General features: G+C 41.2%; 1 protein-coding gene across 2 annotated transcripts in view, besides 4 other annotated features; it reads left to right on the plus strand.

The window, feature by feature from the left end:
• Window positions 7,018-7,077: an enhancer, noted in NCBI's record as "active region_20799". NCBI's record gives its function as "activates an Ori minimal core promoter by ATAC-STARR-seq in GM12878 lymphoblastoid cells {active_cell/tissue: GM12878}" and the evidence as "EXISTENCE:reporter gene assay evidence [ECO:0000049][PMID:35858748]".
• Window positions 7,148-7,207: an enhancer, noted in NCBI's record as "active region_20800". NCBI's record gives its function as "activates an Ori minimal core promoter by ATAC-STARR-seq in GM12878 lymphoblastoid cells {active_cell/tissue: GM12878}" and the evidence as "EXISTENCE:reporter gene assay evidence [ECO:0000049][PMID:35858748]".
• Window positions 7,218-7,377: an enhancer, noted in NCBI's record as "active region_20801". NCBI's record gives its function as "activates an Ori minimal core promoter by ATAC-STARR-seq in GM12878 lymphoblastoid cells {active_cell/tissue: GM12878}" and the evidence as "EXISTENCE:reporter gene assay evidence [ECO:0000049][PMID:35858748]".
• The window catches only part of PRKCI (protein kinase C iota), an 83,554-nt gene continuing 69,563 nt past the window's right edge, over window positions 7,487-21,477 (plus strand). For both annotated transcript variants that reach the window (NM_002740.6, XM_047448574.1), the window contains exons 1-2: window positions 7,487-7,833; window positions 20,293-20,414. In NM_002740.6, coding sequence (NP_002731.4) covers window positions 7,733-7,833; window positions 20,293-20,414 — 223 coding nt within the window. In that variant the 5' untranslated portion in view covers window positions 7,487-7,732. The remainder of the gene's footprint in view (window positions 7,834-20,292; window positions 20,415-21,477) is intronic.
• Window positions 7,558-7,847: a silencer, noted in NCBI's record as "silent region_14882". NCBI's record gives its function as "represses an Ori minimal core promoter by ATAC-STARR-seq in GM12878 lymphoblastoid cells {active_cell/tissue: GM12878}" and the evidence as "EXISTENCE:reporter gene assay evidence [ECO:0000049][PMID:35858748]".

Below are 21,477 nucleotides of genomic sequence, written 5' to 3' on the forward strand. Positions count from 1 at the left end.
TTAATATATAACAGTCAAAAACACATATGCCCCTAACAGCACAGCCCTAAAATAAATGAAACAAAACTAACAGAATTGAAAGGAGAAATAGACTCTTCAACAATTATGGTTGGATACTGCAATATCCTACTTTCAATACTAAATAGTATGACTAGGCAGTAGGCCAACTAAGATATAGAAGACTTGAACAACAAGATAAACTACATTTATTAATAACAGATATCTGTAGAAAACTCTACCTATTAACAACTGAATACACATTCTTCTCAATTGCATGTGGAACATTCTCCCAGAAGACCATATGCTAGACATAAAATAAGGTTCAATAAAGTTAAAATAATTGAAATTATACAAAGCATGTCCTCCGAGCACAACACAATGAAATTAGACATTGATAACAGAAGGAAACTTGGGATATTCAAAAATATGTGCATATTAAGCAACACACTTATAAAAAGACAAAATCACAAGGGAAAATGGAAAATACTAAGAAATGGATGAAAATGCAAAAACAGCATACCAAAATTTATGAGATGCAACTAAAGAAGTGTTTGGAGTATTTCTTTTGATAGCTATAAACACCTATATTAAAACAGAAGAAAGATCTCAAATCAGTAACTTAAACTTCCATCCTAATAAACTGGAAAAAGAAGGACAAAGTAAACCTAAAGCAACAAGAAGTAAATAAATAACAATGATTAGAGCAAAAATTAATAAAATAGAGAACAGAAAATAATAGAGAAAAATCAACAAAACCAAAAATTGGTCTTTGAAAGATCAACAAAGTTGATAAATTTTAACTCACCAAGAAAAAAAAGAAGACCAAATTACTAAAATCAGGAAAGAGGGAACATAACTACCAACTTCACAGAAATAAAAAGAATTCTTAAGAATTATTAAATTCTAATATTAAAGAATACTATAAACAATTATATGTGAAGAAATTAATAAATGAAATGGGCCAATTCCTAGAAAGATACAATCTACCAAAACTGACTCAAGAAAAAAATAGAAAATCTGAATAAACCTATAACAAAAAAAGCAATTGAATCAGTAACTTATTATTATTATTTTTTTGAGACAGGCTTTCGTTCTGTCTCCAAGGCTGGAGTACAGTGGTGTGATCACAGCTTACTGCACCCTTGACTGCCTGGGTTCAAGAGATCCTCCAGCCTCAGCCTGCTGAGTAGCTGGGACCACAGGCAGGTGCCACCACACCTGCTAATTGTTTAAATTATTAGTAGAGATGAGGTCACATTATATTATCTAAGATGGTCTTCAACTTCTGGGCGTAAGCCATCCTCCCACTTCAGCCTCCCGAAGTGTTTAAGATCTTCTTTTTTATTTTTTATTTTTTGAGACGGAGTCTTGCTCTGTTGCCAGGCTGCAGTGCAGTGGCACGATCTCGGCTCACTGCAACCTCTGCCTCCTGGGTTCAAGCGATTCCCCTGCCTCAGCCTACAGAGTAGCTGGGACTACAGGTGTGCGCCACCACACCTGGCTAATTTTTTTGTATTTTAGTAGAGACGAGTTTTCACCATGTTGGCCAGGATGGTCTTGATATCCTGACCTCGAGATCTGCCTGCCTCAGCTTCCCAAAGTGCTGGGATTACAGGCATGAGCCACTGGGCCTGGCCAAGATCTTCTTAACAAAGAAAAGTGAGAACTGGATGGCTTCACTAGTGAATTTTCTTAAAAATTCAAATAAGAATTAATACTAATTCTTCACAAACTATTCCAAATAACGTAAGAAGAGGGATTACTTTCCAACTAATTCTATAAGGATAGTTACCCTGATAACCAAAACCAAAGTCATCACAAGAAAAACAGAAGCTACAGAACAATAACCAGTATCTGTTATGAGTATAGAGGTAAAATTTCTCAACAAAATATTAGGAAACTGAATCCAGCAACATATGAAAAAATTATACACTATAACAAAATGGAATTTGTTCCAGGAATGCAAGGTTGGCTTATCTCCAAAAATCAATTAATGTAACACACCATATCACACAATAAGAAACAAAACCACATGATTATCTCAATGGACATAGGAAAAACACTTAACAAAACTCAACACCCTTTCATAATAAAAACAGCAAACTAGGAATAGACTGACGCTCAATGTGATAAAGGACACACACAAAAAACCTAGAGCAATCATCATAACACTTAATGGTGAAAGACTAAAAGCTATGCACGTAAGACTGGGAACAAGACAAGAATGTCCACACTTCTTCTATTTACTTATTTTTTTTTGAGACAGGGTCTCACTCTGTTGCTCAGGCTGGAGTGCAGTGGCACAATCTTGGCTCAATGCAACCTCCACCTCCTAGTCTCAAGCATTCCTTCCACCTCAGCCTCCTGAGTAGCTGAGACTACAGGCATCTACCACCATAACTGGCTAATTTGTTTTTATTTTTATTATTTATTTTTATTTTTATTATTATATTTTTGAGACGGAGTCTCGCTGTGTCGCCCAGGCTGGGGTGCAGTGGCGCGATCTGAGCTCACTGCAAGCTCCGCCTCCCGGGTTCATGCCATTCTCCTGCCTCAGCCTCCCGAGTAGCTGGGACTACAGGTGCCCGCCACCACGCCTGGCTAATTTTTTGTATTTTAGTAGAGACAGGGTTTCACCGCGATAGCCAATATGGTCTCGATCTCCTGACCTCATGATCCACCTGCCTCGGCCTCCCAAAGTGCTGGGATTACAGGCGTGAGCCACCGCACCTGGCCTTGTTTTTATTTTTAATAGAGGTGGGGTTTCACTATGTTATCCAGGCTGGTCTCAAACTCCTAGGCTCAAGTGATCCACCTGCCTTGGCCTCCCAAAGTGCTGGGATTACAGGCATGAGCTACTGCACCCAGCCTCTTCTTCTATTTATCTTGGTACTGGAGGTTCTAGCCAATATGATCAGGTAACAAAAAGAAATAAAAGGCATCCAGATTGAAGAGGATAATATAAATCTAACTGTATTTTATTTTATTTTATTTTTTTTGAGACAGAGTCTCGCTCTGTTGCCCAGGCTGGAGTGCAGTGGTGCGATCTCGGCTCACTGCAAGCTCTGCCTCCTGGGTTCACGCCATTCTCCTGCCTCAGCCTCCTGAGTAGCTGGGACTACAGGTGCCCACCACCACACCTGGATAATTTTTTGTATTTTTTTTAGTAGAGACGGGGTTTCACTGCGTTGGCCAGGATGGTCTCCAACTCCTGACCTCGTGATCCGCCCGCCTCAGCCTCCCAAGGTGCTGGGATTACAGGCATGAGCCACCACACCTGGCCTCATTTTATTTGTTTTTTAATCTGTATTTTAAAATGACAGTCTTGGCTGGTCACAGTGGCTCACGCCTGTAATCCCAGCACTTTGGGAGGCCGAGGCGGGTGGATCACGAGGTCAGGAGATTGAGACCATCCTGGCTAACACAGTGAAACCCTGTCTCTACTAAAAATACAAAAAATTAGCTGGGCATGGTGGCGAGTGCCTGTAGTCCCAGCTACTCAGGAGGCTGAGGCAGGAGACTGGCATGAGCCCAGGAGGCGGAGCTTGCAGTCAGCCCAGATCGTGCCACTGCACTCCAGCCTGGGCAACAGAGCGAGACTCCATCTCAAAAAAAAAAAAAAAAAAAATGACAGTCTTATATGCAGGAAATCCTAAGGAATTCACCTAATAAACAAGTTCTGCAATACAATATCAACAATATGCAAAAATCAACTGCATTTCTCTATAGTAGAAGTGAATAATTCAAAAAGGAAACTAAGAAAACAATTTGTTTACAATAGCATTATAAAGAATAAAATATTTAAGAGTAAAAGAAGTGCAAAATGTATACTCTGAAAATGAGAAAGCAATTGAAGCTGCCTAAATAAATGAAAAGTTATCCCATGTTCATGGATTGGAAGGTTTAATACTGTTAACATGACAAAAACCACACAAACTGATTCACAGATTCAAGGCAATCGTTATCAAAATCTCAGCTGGCTTTCTTAAAGAAATTGACAAGTTGATCCTAAAATTCACATGAAAATGTAAGGGATCCAGAATAGCCAAGACACTCTTGAAAAAAAAAAAAGTTGTAAGACTCACACTTCCTTGTTTTAAAAGTTACTAAAAAACTACAGTAATGAAGACACTGTGATTATTGTCAAAGGATAGACAAATCAATCAATAGAATAGAATTTAAAATCCAGGAATAAACCCTTAAATTTTGGTCATTTGATTTTTGACAATTGTGCAAACAATTAAATGGGAGAAAAATAGTCTTTTCAACAAATGATGGTGGGATAACTGAATATCCACATGCAAAGAAATCAATTTGGACCACTTACATTAGACACAAAAATTAACCCAAAATGGATCATAAGCTAAAAAGTAAGAGTTTAAACTATAAAACTTCTAGAAGGAAATATAGGTGTAAATCTTCATGATCTTAGATTACACAAAGCCCTCTTAGACATGACACTAAAAACATATATAACATATAGTCTGGCACACAGTAAAACAAACAAAAACCATACGTGACAACAACAAAATAAATTAGACCTCGTGAAAATTAAAAATTTTTATGCTGCAAATAATACCATCAAAAATATGAAAAGATTAAAAAAATGAAAAGATAATGCACAGAGTGGGAGAAAATATTTGCAAATAATCTAATAAGAGATGTATTTCCAGAATATATAAAGAGCTCTGGCCAGGCATGGTGGCTCACACCTATAATCTTAGCACTTTGGGAAGTCAAGGTGGGAAGATCACTTGAGCCCAGGAGTTGAAGATCAGCCTTGACATTATAGGAAGACCTAGTCTCTACAAAAACGAGAAAAACAAATTAGCTGGGTGTGGTGGCATATGCCTATGGGCCTAGCTACTCAGTAGGCTGAAGTGGAAGGATCGCTTGAGCCCAGGAGTTGGAGAGCTGTGATCATGCCATGCACTCCAGTCTGTGCAACAGAGCAAGATCTTGTCTTGAAGAAAAAAAAAAGAAAAGAGAGAACTCTTACAACTCAATGAAAAAAGACAACCCAATTTAAAAATGATTAAAGGATCTGAATAGATAGTTCTCCAAGAAGATATATAAATGGCCAATAAAAACACGAAAACATACCCAACATCATTAGTCATTAGGGAGATGTACATCAAAACTGTAATGAGATACCACTTCACAACCACTAGGATGGTTATGATAAAGAAGATGGGAAAAAAACCAAGTATTGGCAAGGACATTAAAAAAAACTGAAACCTTCACTGGGTATGGTGGCTTACACCTGTAATCTCAGCACTTTGGGAGGCTGAGGCAGGCAGATGGCTTCAGTCCAGGAGATTGAGACCAGCCTGGACAACATGGCAAAACCCCGGCGCTACAAAAAACACAAAATTTAGCAGGGTGTGGTGGCACATGCCTGTAGTCCCAGCTACTAGCGATGTTCAGAATAGAAAAACTCATAGCAACAGAAAATATATTATTGGTTGCCAGAGGTTGAGGAGAGTGGGGAGTAACTGCTAATGGATATGCAGTTACTTTCAGGGTGCTGAAAATACTCTGGATTTAGGTAGAGGTGATGGTTGCAAAACTTTGTGAAGATACTTAAAACTATCAAATTTTACACTTTAAATGAGTAAGTTGTATGGCATGTGAATTATCTTTTTTTAAAAAAATGAGACGGGATCTCACTGTGCATTGTGTTGCCCAGGGACGGAGTCTCGCTGGAGTGCAGTGGTGCAGTCTCAGAGGCTCACAGCAACCTCTGCCTCCTGGGTTTAAGCGATTCTCGTGCCTCAGCCTCCGGAGTAGCTGGGATTACAGGTGCCCGTATATTTTATAATATATTCCATAATTAATCGCTCCGTATTAAACTTGCTGATGCAGGTCTCCAATTACTGAAAAACCTGATACCAAGTTTTTCAATGGGATTTTTTTGTTTGTTTAAGAGATGGGGTCTCACCATGTTGCTCAGGCTGGCCTTGAACTCCTGGGCTCAAGTGATCCTCCAGCCTCAGCCTCTCAAAGGCTGGGACTACAGGCATGTAGCACTTTGCCTGACTCAAGGGGAATTTTTAGTAAGAGTATATAATCCAAGTCTGTAGCAGTTGGAGGATGTCGTACCACGCTGAAGTGTCACACATAACTGATGACTCAGTCCCCCAAGCCTATTTTATCATCGTAAAGAAAGCTATTTCTTTGATTATTCCAACTCTTTCAGCACCAGGACTGCTGCAGGGGCTGGATTCATGCTACCTGTAGTTGCAGTGTAAATTATGTGTCAGAGCCAAGATCCTAGGAAAGTCAAAGACTAGGTTACAAGAGCGATTCTTTTTTTTTTTTTTTTTTTTTTTTTTTGAGACAGAGTCTTGCTCTGTCGCCCAGGCTGGAGTGCAGTGGCACAGTCTTGGCTCACTGCAACCTCCGCCTCCCTGGTTCACGCCATTCTCCTGCCTTAGCCTCCCGAGTAGCTGGGACTACAGGCGCCCGCCACCACGCCCGGCTAATTTTTTGTGTTTTTAGTAGAGACGGGGTTTCACCGTGTTAGCCAGGATGGTCTCGATCTCCTGACCTTGTGATCCGCCCGCCTCGGCCTCCCAAAGTGCTGGGATTACAGGCTTGAGCCACCGCGCCCGGCCAAGGACGATTCTTTCTAATCTTTGGTAAGCCAGTTTTTACAGAATGAAATGCTCTTGGATTGACTGACTTGATTGGGTAAGTATTCATTGGGCTCTTGTTCCATGCAAGGGCAGTCTACAAGGGCCTAGATATGGGGGCCCCCAAAGAAGAAAAATCGGTTTTTCATCATATTTTCTGGTTGAGTTTCTTCCTTTATTATATTTGTTACATATGTTATTAAATTATTTCCATAAAAGAGGTTATGCTGAGCAGGTAACCAAATTCTTGTTCCCCCAAAAGACATGTATAATTCAGACGATTTATGCAATTAGAAGAAGGGAGACTTCATCAGTTAATAAAGTCTAGAACGTGAGGAAGCCCAGTCATTTCCAGGACCTTCAGATGCCCAAGCTGGATCCAGGTTTTCCACCCCGACAGCTCCAGGGAGCACGCTGGAGAGACAGACTTCACCAGCGGGAAGGCGCGGCACCCTACGCGCAAGGAACCTCAAGTCCCAGAATCCTATGAGGACTCCAAATCCCAGAAACCTGCACGCAAATCTATCCCGGGTGCCAAGTCGGCCGACCGCAGACGTGACCAAGTTGCGAGGCTAGGGTGAGGTGTCGTAGAATTTGTCCCTACCATTGTCCCTGCAGGGAAGAGACTTTAGTGATCTAGAGCTGGTCATTGTCTCTTTCACAGCTCGCGTGAAAGCACCCCTCTCGGCGTGTTTGATGCCATGATCAGCGTCTCCCATTCCCTCTGTCCCCTTTCTCTGCCCCCGTAAGGATGGTTCAGCCCGGTATTGAGGCTCCTTGAGCTGGCTGGATGGTTGCGCCCGCCCTACCCCGGAATGTGGGCCTTTGGAGCGAGCGAAGTGGGAGGGACCGACGCAGGAGGTGTCTTGGGCCCGGGCGGCTGTAGAGGCGGCGGCGCCTACGGGCAGTGGGAGGAGCCGCGCGGTTCCGGCTGCTCCGGCGAGGCGACCCTTGGGTCGGCGCTGCGGGCGAGGTGGGCAGGTAGGTGGGCGGACGGCCGCGGTTCTCCGGCAAGCGCAGGCGGCGGAGTCCCCCACGGCGCCCGAAGCGCCCCCCCGCACCCCCGGCCTCCAGCGTTGAGGCGGGGGAGTGAGGAGATGCCGACCCAGAGGGACAGCAGCACCATGTCCCACACGGTCGCAGGCGGCGGCAGCGGGGACCATTCCCACCAGGTCCGGGTGAAAGCCTACTACCGCGGGTGAGTGTCCTGGGACAGGGCGGTGGGCGGGAGGGGACAGGCCGGCTCCACTCGGCCTGGAGGAGGGGAGGGTGAGGGGCTGGAGGTGTTGTGGGCGGATTGGGCTGGGCGGGCGGGCGGCTCCGGTGACTCAGGGTGAGTGACGAAGTGATAGGGGTGGGGGCGAAGCAAGGGGATGCAGTACTGGGGGCGCCCCCAGGTATGGCGGTGCGGGGAGCCGAGGGGCCAGAGTAGGGTCCGAGAAGGAAGCTAGGGTTAGAGTAGGTGCACCTGGTGTGGACGAGAGACTCGCCTCCTGAGAGCTTTGTAGGGGCCTTGCATCCTTAAGTCTGGGTGTATTTGGGGTTGCGAGTTGAGGATTCCAAGTGATGCCTTAGTTAACTCAGTTTGCTGTGGGGATAGAAAACGGGACTTCTTCAGTTAGCTGTCCGTTTTGATTACCAGCAGGCCTAACGCCTCTGGTTCTCTGAGATATACCTCCATCCCCGTTGTGTTCACGTAGTGTATCTGCACTGCCAGTATATTAGACATAGGGGTTGTATTTAAGAATCAAGTCGATGCGTTTTCAGGGACGTGCAGTGGGTACTTACGTGTCGTCAAGATTAAGTTGCATGTGTGTAAATCAAAATTTTGTGAGCCTTTCTTTCTCAGTGTTGTTTCAACGACTACCCGATAGGGTGAGATACTGCAAGGTGAGGAGACTAGCCTAGTTACAGTTTTAAATTCTCTGATCTTCACTCCCTTACTATGGTTACAAGAAAAAACCCAGTTCTAAGTTCATTGTGTTAAATCATTTTCTATCAGTGACGCAAAGTGCCCCCCTTCCTTTAAATTCAGTTGTGGTTTGAATTTTTTTTTGAGATAATTATGTTTAGGAGCATTAGAAACGTGAAATGTTAGTGTGACCATAAAGGTTGGAGACTGAGAAGTCACAGAAAACCCAGCTACTTTGGCTTGCCTTACTGCTTGTCCAGGTAGAAGTAAATTGCTTTAAAAAACTCAAGCAGTGCTAGGTTGAAATTTTAATGCATACTTTTACATTCCTGAGAGGATCAGTGAAGATAGCAAACTCTCAAACTACCTCTCTTGTTTTGATTTCAAAGAAAATCTGAGCCCCTAAATGTTGTATTGATTTGATGTAAGGACTTTTTTTTTTATTATTATACTTTAAGTTTTAGGGTACATGTGCACAATGTGCAGGTTAGTTACATGTGTATACATGTGCCATACTGGTGTGCTGCACCCATTAACTCGTCATTTACATTAGGTATATCTCCTAATGGTATCCCTCCCCCCTCCCCCCACCCCACAACAGTCCCCAGGGTGTGATGTTCCCCTTCCTGTGTCCATGTGTTCTCATTGTTCAATTCCCATCTGTGAGTGAGAACATGCGGTGTTTGGTTTTTTGTCCTTGATGTAAGGACTTTTAAATTTGCTGCCATGAAGCCTCTGGCCTCTGTTTATTATTAGCTTGACTGTATGCAGGAGTAGTTTATTGGAGTTATATTGGACAGTATGATAACTTTGTGTTTAAGCAGGTAAAACTGATTAAGGAGGTTTTTATTTTAAATCAGTACCAAGAAACGTGTGGATATTTTTTAAAGTTTGTAGTTGTCACAAGAGCTGTTTTGACTTGAGGATGGTCAGCCATGAACTTTGCAAGGTGAGAAAAAAGCTTCCTTTGCTTTTTTTTTTTTAAACCCTTACCTGTAATTTGATGAATGAGATGTTTCACTTTATTCTTTTATTTTATTTTTGTTTGTTTGTTTTTGAGACAGGGTCTTACTCTGTTACCCATGCTGGAGTGCAGTGGCACAATCTCGGCTCACTGCATTCTCCGCCTCCCGGGTTCAAGCAATTCGCCTGCCTCAGCCTTCTGAGTAGCTGGGATTACAGGCATGTGCCACCACACCCGGCTAATTTTTGTATTTTTAGTAGAGACGGGGTTTCACCATATTGGCCAGGCATGTCTTGAACTCCTGGCCTCAAATGATGCGCTCGTCTTGGCTTCCCAAATTGCTGGGATTACAGGCATGAGCCACTGCGCCTGGCCCTAAGGCTTTCAATAAATTCTTATTAATTGAGATCATCTTCTCCAATGAGTCTATGAAAGGTAAGAAATTAGTGCTTCTATTTTCCCATTTGTATTAGTTTGACACATGTAAATAGGCCCAGTTAGTAAATGAAAATCATTGTAAACTCCTTTGAGAAGAAATCAAAGTCTTGCTGTACTTCATGAATTTAGATAGCAAATTATCTTGGCTTATTGCTCCAGTTATTAAAAAGAAGAGAATAAGGACATACAGCTTCTTTAGTGTTTGACTGCAATTTTTCCAAGACATTCAAGGTAACATTGTCTTTTAAAATCTGTGAAATTTTGCTGCGGCGCAAATAACCTCTTGCCCATTGTATACTGGTCTTTGCTCAATGAAAGCTTTCTAATGGTACCTTCATTTCAAGCCTCATTTAAAGACAATATCAGCACTCTAAATTGTACCAAATTCCTGTCCTCTGAAATTAGATGTTAAGATTATGTGTTTGTATAGTCTAAACTGATGATTGTGGTATTACATAGTCAGCTGCTCATTAATATAGATGAAGCTAAAATGAGTCACGGACAAGGATAGTTAATAAACAGGTTGGCTAACTAGAACACCTACCTGATTTTAAAATAGAAAATCCTTCCTTTATACCAAGAAATGTGAGAACATTCTGCATTTGAAAAAGTTTTCTTTTCTCTCCAATCTTCTGAAGGGCCATTATTACATAGCATTTCCTCTATCCCTCTACACTTTTCTTTTCTTTTTTTTTTTTTTAAATAGAGACAAGGTCTCACCGTGTTGCCCAGGCTAATCCCAAACTCCTGGGCTCAAGTGATCCTCCTGCCTCAGCCTCTCAAAGTGCTGGGATTACAGGTGTGAGCCACTGTACCTGGCTCCACTACCCTTTTCTAACAATATTTCTTTCCAGTGAATGTTGACTCATTTAATAGCCAGCATTTTTTTTAGTGAAAAAATTGCCCTCTCTTTTCAAAGATGTGTATAGTGTTATTATTCTGTTAAGCTTGATCTCAGTGAAAACGTGTAATCTCTCTAGATCTAATAACATTTAATTTTTTTCTAATTTTTATTTTATTTTATTTTATTTATTTATTTTTTTGGAGATGGAGTCTCGCTCTGTCACCTGGGCTGGAGTGCAGTGGCGTGATCTCGGCTCATTGCAACCTCCGCCTCCCAGGTTCAAGGGATTCTCCTGCGGCTGCCTCCCGAGTAGGTGGGACTACAGGCGCCCACCACCACGCCCAGCTAATTTTTGTATTTTAGTAGAGACGGGTTTTCACCATGTTGGCCAGGTTGGTCTCCCAACTTCTGACCTCAAGTGATCCACCCACCTCGGTCTCCCAAAGTGTTGGGATTACAGGAATGAGCCATCTTGCCCAGCCAATTTACATCTAGTTTTTAAGCAAGAGATTAATAGCACTGAAAATTCAATTTTATTGGACACCACATCTTACTTAGATGCCTTTCTCATGGCCTGCACCCGTCTTTTCCTAGCAAGGAAGCTTTTCAGTGAGGGGCCTTCAGTTATTACCTAGTGCTAGTAGTTTGGAGGAAGAGAAACAGGTTTCATTAATTAGTGATAAACTGTCAATGTATGTGCTTATCCTTATATAAAATTACTTGCTATTATGGGATAGACTTTAACAAGGCAACATCTGGACTGCTCATTTCTTTACATTATATATGTATGGAAATTTTTGCAGAAAGCTTGTGAAAGTTCTTTTTAAACCGCTGCTGTCAAGTAGTAATAACAATACAGAGGATTCCTTCTGTGCACATCTAGAAATAAAAGATTAACTCTTTGCATATTTGGAATAGCTGCTTCAGTGAAGAAGTATGTAGGATTTTTCTTACTGTGAACAAGTCTTGGCAAGACTTGTTTTTGAAAGAAATGCAAGATTATTTTAGCAATATACTTTAGTAATGGTTCTGAGGAAATACAAGTGGTATCTTGAGGGTTGGGGGGATGTTAGCTAATTGGTCTTAGAGCTTCAGCCATGGCACCTAATCCTAGGGCAGCTGATCCATAGCTTGGCCAAAGAGAGAAAAAAATAGAGCATGCTAGCCTGGTGCCAAAAAACCCAAACCAAACACAAAAAACCCTCAGAAATTTGAATGAGAAAATATGGAGATAAAATTGGTCAGCACTGGGAACTGAAGCTGGAGTTGGAGGGAGAGTCTGGCGAGGCCAGAACTGACAATGTGCAAATGAAAGATGTGAAGAAGCAGAAACTGAGGAAGCAAAGGAGAAAGGAGCAACTCTGCACAGAAAAATTCTCCCCACAGGTCCTTAGTTCATGATGGCTTTCTAATGCAACTGCAGCCCTCCTTTTACAACTTTAGTGTCTGTTTTTTTTATGATTGAAATGAGCCTAATTTAAACATAGATTTTAAAAATTCCAGTCTTGCTTAAGATTTCAAATATAACCAGAGATCATTCAAACTGAGTTTAGTAAATATTGTTGAACGTCCGTAATCCAGGCACATGATGCTGTCGTAGGCACAGAGAATGTAGAGGTAGGTAAGGCTCTGCCTTTAAGGAATTAAGAGACTTGTGGAGGGAAGGACATATAAGAGTTACAATAGAAACAATTTAATTTGAAGTACCTATGTAAGGTATTTGCAGGAATAGACGTTGGGGAGGAGTTTGGGGTGATGGAAGCCTTCCTAGAGGAAATGTCTGAGGCTTTTAAAGGATAACTAGGAGTTTGCCTGGTGAATAATGATGTTAGGTGGGTGTTATAGGCATTAAACAACCACATGGTAAGTTTGCAGAATTAAGATCACTTTGGCTGTTAGTCTCATATTCATTCCTTATTAGGATATAAAGTATGAAGTGGGCACTGATGAGAAATGAGGCTAAGAAAGTTCACAGGGGCTAGATTGTAAAGACCCTTGAATGTCATACTGCAGAGTTTAGACTTTTTCTCATTGATGAAAATTCTAAGTAAGAGAAATACATGATCAGATTTGCATTTTAGAAAGATAACACTTGAAATTAGTATGGGAGATGGATTGGTGATGGATGAAACTAATTTGGAGGCTTTTGAAGTAGTCCAGATGAGATATTTTAAGGAGAGAGAAAAGAGTGTATGGATTCGGTGGAAATTTTAAGGGGTAGTATCAGTAGAATTAAAGATAGTCTTGTAGGGGTGACGGGAGTTGGACAACTCATAGGTTTCTCGTTTAAGAGAGACTGGGGAATGTGGAAGAGATTTGTGGGAGAAGTTAATTAATTGGCTGGAACAATTCACTGAATTTTGAGTTCTAGGTGTTTATGAGGCATTCAGGAGGAAATGTCAGAAAGAATGGAGCAATTATTTATTGTCTGTCTACTCTGTGTTGCAAGCACTGTGCTTGACAGCTAACCTATGTAGGAATGTGGCTGAGAACGATAATAGAAACAAAAATGACACCAGTGGCCAAATACAGATCACAAAGGCAAGGCACTAAAACTAAATTTTAAAAATATAGAAATACAGAAAGAGGCTGGGTATGGTGGTTCATGCCTGTAATCCCAGCACTTTGGGAGGTCAGGGCAGGTGAATCACTTGAGCCCAGGAATTGGAGACCAGCCTGGGCTGAATGTGGTGAAACCCTATCTCTACAAAAAAATTAGCCTGTAGTCCTAGCTACTAGGAGGGCGAGGTGGGAGAATCACCTGAGGCCAGGAAGTCAAGGCTGCAGTGAGCTGTGATTGCACCACTGCACTCCAGCCTGGGCAACAGAGTGAGACCCTGTCTCACACACACACAGACATACACACACACAAATATATATATATATACACACACACACACACACACACACATATACATACACACACATATAAAGTTCCCCTGTAGTCTCTCACTCCCACCTTATTTTATTTTATTAGTTTATTTTTATATATTTAAAGGGTACAAGTGCAGATTTCTTTCTTTCTTACATGTTTGTATCATGTAGCCATGAAGTCTGGTCACTTAGTGTACCCATCACCGGAACAGTAAACAGTAAAACCCAGAAAATTACCTGTACCCGATAGGTATTTTTCAACCCTCACCCCCCTCCCACCTTTTGTAGTCTCCAATGTCTACTATTCCCTCTTTATGTCCATGTGTACCCTTTGTTTAGCTCTCACTTATAAGTGAGAATATGTGGTATCTGGCTTTTTGTTTCTGATTTTTTTGACTAGGGATAATGGCCTTCAGTTCCATCCATGCTGGTGTAGAAGACGTGATTTCATTATTTTTTATGGCTGTCTCACTCCCACTTTCTAGAGATAGCCATTGTTAACAGTTAGGGATATTCTATATCATATCGGTATATTTATAAGTATAGATATGTATGTGCATACACACACACAGACATACCCTTTTATTTTTCCAATAAATGAGTTCATATTTCCACACATGCATCTGCAACTTGATTTTAAAAATCGTGGTCATCTTTTCATTCCAGGGTAGACAGACCTCTTTATAGTTGGTAATACAGTGTTCTACAGTTGTTGTTGTTGTTTTAAGAGACAGAGTCTGATTCTGTTGCCTACGCTGGAGTGCAGTGGCATGATCTAGGCCCTCTGCAGCCTCAACCACTCTGGGTTCAAGCAGTCCTCCCACCTCAGCCTCCTGAGTAGCTAGGATTAGCTCACGCCACTAGGCTCAGCTAATTTTTTTTAATATGTTTTGTAGGGACGGGGCTGGTCTCAAGCTCCTGTGCTCAAGTGATTCTCCTGCCTCGGCCTCTCAAAGTGTAGAAATTACAGGCATGAGCCATTGCGCCCAGCCACCATAATATGTTTAATCTTTTTTCGGATTGATGAACATTTAAAGTTGTCTTCATCAACTCACTATTTCAAATAATGTTGAAGGAACCTCCTTATATTTAATACATATTCTTGTAAATATGGTCAAAGATATGCCTATCTTGAAATATGATATTGTTTCCCAAAAGAGCTTAATTTACATTCTTAACAACAGGACTAGTGAAGCTTCTGCCTTATATTCCCATTGCATGTTATCTGTCTTTTAAATTTTTGACTGTCAGATTGGCAAAAAATGGTAATTTATTTTTACAAGTATCTTTTATATATTAATGATCATTTGTATTTCTTCTGGATTGTTCCTATTTTACCCATTTTCTATTGTATTATTTTTCTTATTAATTTGTTGACAGGACATTGACATTTTGTTAAAGTTGCCAGCATTTCCCCAATCTGTTGCTAGTCTGGAGTTTTTCGTTTTTATGTCATCAAACCTGTCCTTTTTAAAAATTTCCTTGATAGTTTCTGGATTTACTGTCTTAGGTAAAAGTGTTTTTCATCTAAAAATATTCTATTTTTCTTCTATTATGCAACTTTTTTTTTTTTTTTTTTGAGACAGAGTCTTGCTTTGTTGCCCAGGGTAGAACCCAGTGGCGTGATCTCGTCTTACTGCAACCTTTGCCTCCTGGGTTCTAACAATCCTCCTGCCTCAGCCTCCTAAGTAGCTGGGATTATAGGCGCACGCCACAACACCCGGCTAATTTTTGTTTGTTTTTTGAGACAAGGTCTTGCTCAGTCGCCCAGGCTGGAGTGCAGTGGCACGATCCTGGCTCACTGCAGCCTCTGCCTCCTGGGTTGAAGTGATTCTCCTGCCTCAGCCTCCCAAGTAGCTGGGATTACAGGCATGCGCCACCATGTCCGGCTAATTTTTTATTTTTAGTAGAGACAGGGTTTTGCCATGTTGGCCAGGCTGGTCCCAAACTCGTGACCTCAAGTGATTCACCCGCTGTGGCCTCCCGAAGTGCTGGGATTTTAGGCGTGAGCCACTGCGCCTGGCTTATTATGAAACTTTTAAAGTGATTATCTTTTCAGTGAATCTGGTATTTTGGGGTTTAGTCATTTATAGGGTACTGACACAACTTTTTTTTTCTCCAAAATTTATTCTAATACCATTATTGGGCAGATTGTCCTTTCACCACTGATTTGAAATGGTAACTCTGTTATGTACTAAATTTCCCACAATGTGCGTAGGTACTTTCTATTGTTTCATTGATTTTAGGGGAGAGATCTATTTTTGCACATACCACTATTGGTTTAATTATTGTAATATTATAGTTAACTTTGATATATGTTATGGAATGGCTTGATTCATTATTTAATTTTTTTTTTTTGTTTTTTTTTTTTTTGAGATGGAGCCTTGCACTGTCACCCAGGCTGGAGCGCAGTGGCGTGATCTTGGCTCACTGCAACCTCCGCCTCCCAGGTTCAAGCGATTCTCCAGTCTCAGTCTCTCAAGTAGCTGGGATTACAGGCAAGGCGCTACCATGCCTGGCTAATTTTTGTATTTTTAGTGAAAATGGGGTTTCACCATGTTGGCCAGGCTGGTCTGGAACTCCTTACCTCAGGTGATCCATCTGCCTCGGCCTCCCGGAGTGTTGAGATTACAGGCTTGAGCCACCGTGCCCGGCCTATTCCTATATATTTTATAATCATGTGCTTTTGTGAATGGGGTCTTCTTGTAGACCTATTACATACTGTTTTCTTTTTGTATGTTTAAATTAAACTTTCCACCTTACTAATAATTTAACTGTCTTAGAATTTTTAAGCTAGATAATGTCATCTGCAAGTAGCAATTTTGCCTCTTCTTTTCTATATCTTATTTATTTATTTATTATTTATTTTATGTTTTTTGAGACAGAGTCTCACTCTGTCGCCCAGGCTGGAGTGTAGTGGCGTGATCTCGGCTCACTGCAACCTCCGCGTCCCAAGTTCAAGTGATTCTCCTGCCTCAGCCTCCTGAGTAGCTAGGATTACAGGCGTGCACCACCACACCTGGCTAATTTTTGTAGTTTTAGTAGAGATGGGGATTCGCCATGTTGGCCAGACTGGTCTCGAACGCCTGACCTCAGGTAATCCACCCACCTTGGCCTCCCAAAGTGCTAGGATTACAGGTGTGAGCCACTGCGCCCAGCCTTATTTATTTTTAGCCATAGGCTAGAATTTTCTAGACAGTATTGAATTATAGTAATAATCTCTTATCTTAGTGAAATATAATAGAAAAATTTCTGTCAATTAAAGAAAAAAGCTTTTAAAGAATTAAAGTTAGTGTTATTCAGAAATGTTACTGAGGCCGAGTGTGGTGGCTCACGCCTGTAATTGTGCCACTGCACTTCAACCTGGGTGACAGAGCGAGACTCTGTCTCAAAAAAAACTCAACTGAAAAAAGTGGAACAAAAGAAAAAGAACCATGATAAGTATTTTGCACTTTTTTTTTTTTTGAGGCACATTTCTACTCTGTCACCCAGGCTGAGTACAGTGGTGTAATCACAGCTCACTGCAGCCTTAACTGCCCAGGCTCACGCAGTCCTCCTACCTCAGCCTCCCAAGTAGTTGGGACTGTAGGCACACACCACTATGTCTGGCTAATTTTTAATTTTTTTGTAGAGACAAGGTCTCCCTGTGTTGCCCAGGCAGGCCTCGAACTCCTGTACCGAAGCGATCCTCCCACATTGGCCTTTCAAAGTGCTGGGATTATGGCATGAGCCACCTTGCCTGGCTGCACTCATTTATTTTCATTTATTTTTCATTTTTTGAGTCAGTGTCTTCCTCCATCACCCAGGCTAGAGTGCAATGACATAGTCACAGCTCACTGCAGCCTCAACTTCCTGGGCTCAAGCTGCACTTATTTAGTCTTCATGATAATACTCAGAGGCAGATATGATTATCTCCATTTTTCAGATAACATTGAGACTTACTAACCCACAATACAAAGCTGGGTGTGTTTTTTTTTTTAGAGACAGAGTCTTGCTCTGTCGCCCAAGCTGAAGTCCAATGGCTCGATCATGGCTCACTGCAGCCTTGAACTCCTGGGCTCAAATGATTCTCGTGAGTAGCTGGGACTACGCTATGCTTGGCTAATTACAAAAAAATTTTTTTTAGAGACAGGGTCTTGTTCTGTCACTGAGGCTGGCCTTGAACTCCTGAGGTGATCCTCCCGCCTCAGCATCCTGAGTAGGTGGGATTACAGGCACGAGCCACCTTGCCCAGCCAAAACTGGACCTTGAACTTCAAAGAGATTTCTCTTTTCCCCTTACTACATTGACAGGGCTTTATAACATTGCTTTTTTACTTTATTGTTACATTCATATTTCACAATTGTTATTTTTGAATTCACTATCTTCTTCATTATTAAAAGGTGGAAATTGCTTTATGACCTTTTTTATAATTAATAATTTGGGGGGTGATACTTTGAGATTATATGAATACTCTAGTCCCCCAAAACATTTTGCCCAATGGTCTTACCATTCATGGATAATCCTGCCTAAACCAATTATTATAATGGTTATTGCAAATAAAAGTATTTTTTCGAATAGCCTAATTTAGAAGAAAAGCTTACACTGAGGTAGCAGAAGGACTGAATGTGATTCTTTTGGGGGTTTATTTTTAAAAGCAATTAGTCCTAAGGAAAAACTTTATAATAGATTCTATATTTTAGAATATAGGCACATTGAAAGCAGTTTGTCTTCTGAAGCTCAATAGCAAAATAAAAAATGCTTAAAAAAATTCAGCTAAAACCATATCTAAATTTGCCATTTTGGGAATCTTTGTGATAAAGCAGATTATATTCTGTTGAGGATCAGTGGTAAAATAATTTATGCTAGTGCTGAAGTTAAACTGGAAAAAACATCATACGTGCATAATTTGTTTTATACCTTTAGAATGTAATATCTTTATTTTGCAGTTCATTTTTAGCTTTGGTACTGTAACAAGGATCTGGTGATTGTGGAATGTTATGAACATAGTGGTTTCGCAATTACTGAGAGCTAAGTGTTTATATAAAACTCCCTTGAATGTTTTAGTTCCTGGAACTTAAGGAGTGGTAGTTGATAAAGCATAACTCCTTCATTGAGTCTCTGATGGGTATCTATACTTAAACTTTTTTTTTTTTAAACAGAATCTCACTTTATCATCCAGGCTGGAGTGCAGTGACGCAATCACGGCTCACTGCAGCCTCCGCCTCCTGGGTTCAAGCGGTTATCCTGCCTCAGCCTCCCAGGTAGCTGGGATTATAGGCACCCACCACCATGCCTGGCTAATTTTTGTATTTTTAGTAGAGACGGAGTTTCACTGTGTTTGCCGGGCTGATTTCGAACTCCTGACCTCTAGTGATCCGCCCACCTCAGCCTCCCAAAGTACTGGGATTACAGGTGTGAGCCACCACACCCAGCCTATACTTACACTTTTTTTTTTTTTTTTTTTGAGATGGAGTTTCGCTCTTGTTGCCCAGGCTGGAGTGCAATGGTGTGATTGGTTCACTGCAATCTCCGCCTCCCGGGTTCAAGCGATTCTTCTGCCCCAGCCTCCTGAGTAGCTGGGATTACAGGCATGTGCCACCACACCCAGCAAATTTTTTATTTTTAGTAGAGTCAGGGTTTCTCCATATTGGTCAGGCTGGTCTCGAACTCCCAACCTCAGGTGATCCATCTGCCTCAGGCTCCCAAAGTGCTGGGGTTACAGGTGTGAGCCACCACGCCCAGCCTTATACTTATACTTTTTAAGTATTACACAGATGTCTTAAAAGTATTTGTATGTTCTGATAAGTGTTTTTTAGCTTTTGAAAAGTAAAATTTATGAAAAAGCCTTGTTGTTTACAAATATGTTTACCTTTCTGTTAATTTTAAATGTGGACTTTGATAAGGAAGTTATATTTCGATGATATCCAGTGTAACTAATTTTTTCCCTCTTATTCAAGAAAGATAATTTTACACTTATTCTTTGACAGAGAAATTTCATAGAATTTTCTTCTTCTAATTTAATTCCAGAATACATTCTCTCAACCCTATGCCCTCATACTAGTAACCTTGAGGGTTCTTTGAAAGAAAAATTGCTTTAAATCAAGCAATTCTCTTTTGTCATTAAAATAAGCTATTTTCTATTTTTATTTTTAAAAACTATTTAAAACAATATAATTATGCAAGTGTGTATATATGTATTTGATTTTTTTGTTTTCTTTTGTTTTTATTTATTTTTTTGACACAGTCTCCTCTGTTGCCCAGGCTGGAGTGCAGTGATGTGATCTCAGCTCACTGTAACCTACACCTCCCATGTTCCCCCCCTGAGAAGGATCCTCCCACCTCAGCCTCTGGCTAATTTTTTTTTTGTATTTTTAGTAGAGACGGGGTTTCACCATGTTGCCCAGGCTGGTCTTGAGCTCCTGGGCTAAAGTGATCTGCCCAGCTCAGCCTCCCAAAGTGCATGAGCCACCGTGCCCAGCTTGATATTTTAATTTTTACTTGAATGAAATCATTTACTGAAAGCAATACATGTTGATGCACACACAAAATTACTGAAGTTCATCAAATTGTCAAGCATTCAGTAATATATACAGCATTATTATTTTTAATCATTTTCAAACTGAAAACTCCTTTTCTTTTTCAGGGATATCATGATAACACATTTTGAACCTTCCATCTCCTTTGAGGGCCTTTGCAATGAGGTTCGAGACATGTGTTCTTTTGACAACGAACAGCTCTTCACCATGAAATGGATAGATGAGGAAGGTGAGTGGTAAAGACAGGGCTGCCTGTGTAAGCATTTTAAGATCTTATTCTATCATTTGTTGTAAAAATATAATGAGTCCTAAAAAGTTTAAGAGGAAAGACTATTAGAAATTTGATGCCATTCTTGTTTTTTCTTTAAGTATTTAAAAGAATACTGAAGAGCACAATCTTTTTTTTGCCCCTTTTACGCCAAAATGATGTGAAATTAACTTGACTTTTTTTTTTTTTTTTTGAGACGGAGTCTCGCTCTATCGCCCAGGCTAGAGTGCAGTGGCCTAATCTTGGCTCACCAAAACCTCCACCTCCCGGGTTCAAGCGATTCTCCTGCCTCAGCCTCCCAAGTAGCTGGGACTACAAGTGTGCACCACCATGCCCGGCTAATTTTTGTATTTTTAGTAGAGACGGGGGTTTCGCTATGTTGGCCAAGCTGGTCTCAAACTCCTGACCTTATGATCTGCCCACCTCGGCCTCCCAAAGTGCTGGCATTGCAGGCGTGAGCCACTGTGCCCAGCCTAACTTGACTTTTTTAAGCATAAGGTAAGCATCTCATCAAATAGTGTGATGTTTTACTTTAATTTTGTTTTTTCTTTGAATTAAATTTTTTTTTTTTATTTTTTAAAGACAGGGTCTTGCTAAGTTGTCCAGGCTGGTCTCCAACTCCTGGCCTCAAGTGATCTTCCCATCATGACCTCCCAAAGTACTGGGATTGCAAGCAGGAGCCACTGCATTCAGCTTCACTTTATTTTTTAATTTAAATTTTTTTTTTTTGAGACAGAGTCTGGCTCTGTCGCCCAGGCTGGAGTGTAGTGGCATGATATCAGCTCACTGTAACCTCCGCCTCCAAGGTTCAAGCAATTCTTGTGCCTCAGCCTCCCAAGTAGCTGGGATACAGGGGTGCACCACCACACCCAGATAATTTTTGTATTTGTAGTAGAGACGGGGTTTTGCCGTGTTGCCCAGGCTGGTCTTGAACTCCTGGCCTCAAGTGATCTGCCCACCTAGGCCTCCCAAAGTGCTGGGATTACAGGTATGGGCCACCACACCTGGCCCCCAGCTTCACTTT

The sequence above is a fragment of the Homo sapiens genome, chromosome 3, assembly GCF_000001405.40.
Source record: "Homo sapiens chromosome 3, GRCh38.p14 Primary Assembly".
Classification (NCBI taxonomy): Eukaryota; Metazoa; Chordata; class Mammalia; order Primates; family Hominidae; genus Homo; species Homo sapiens.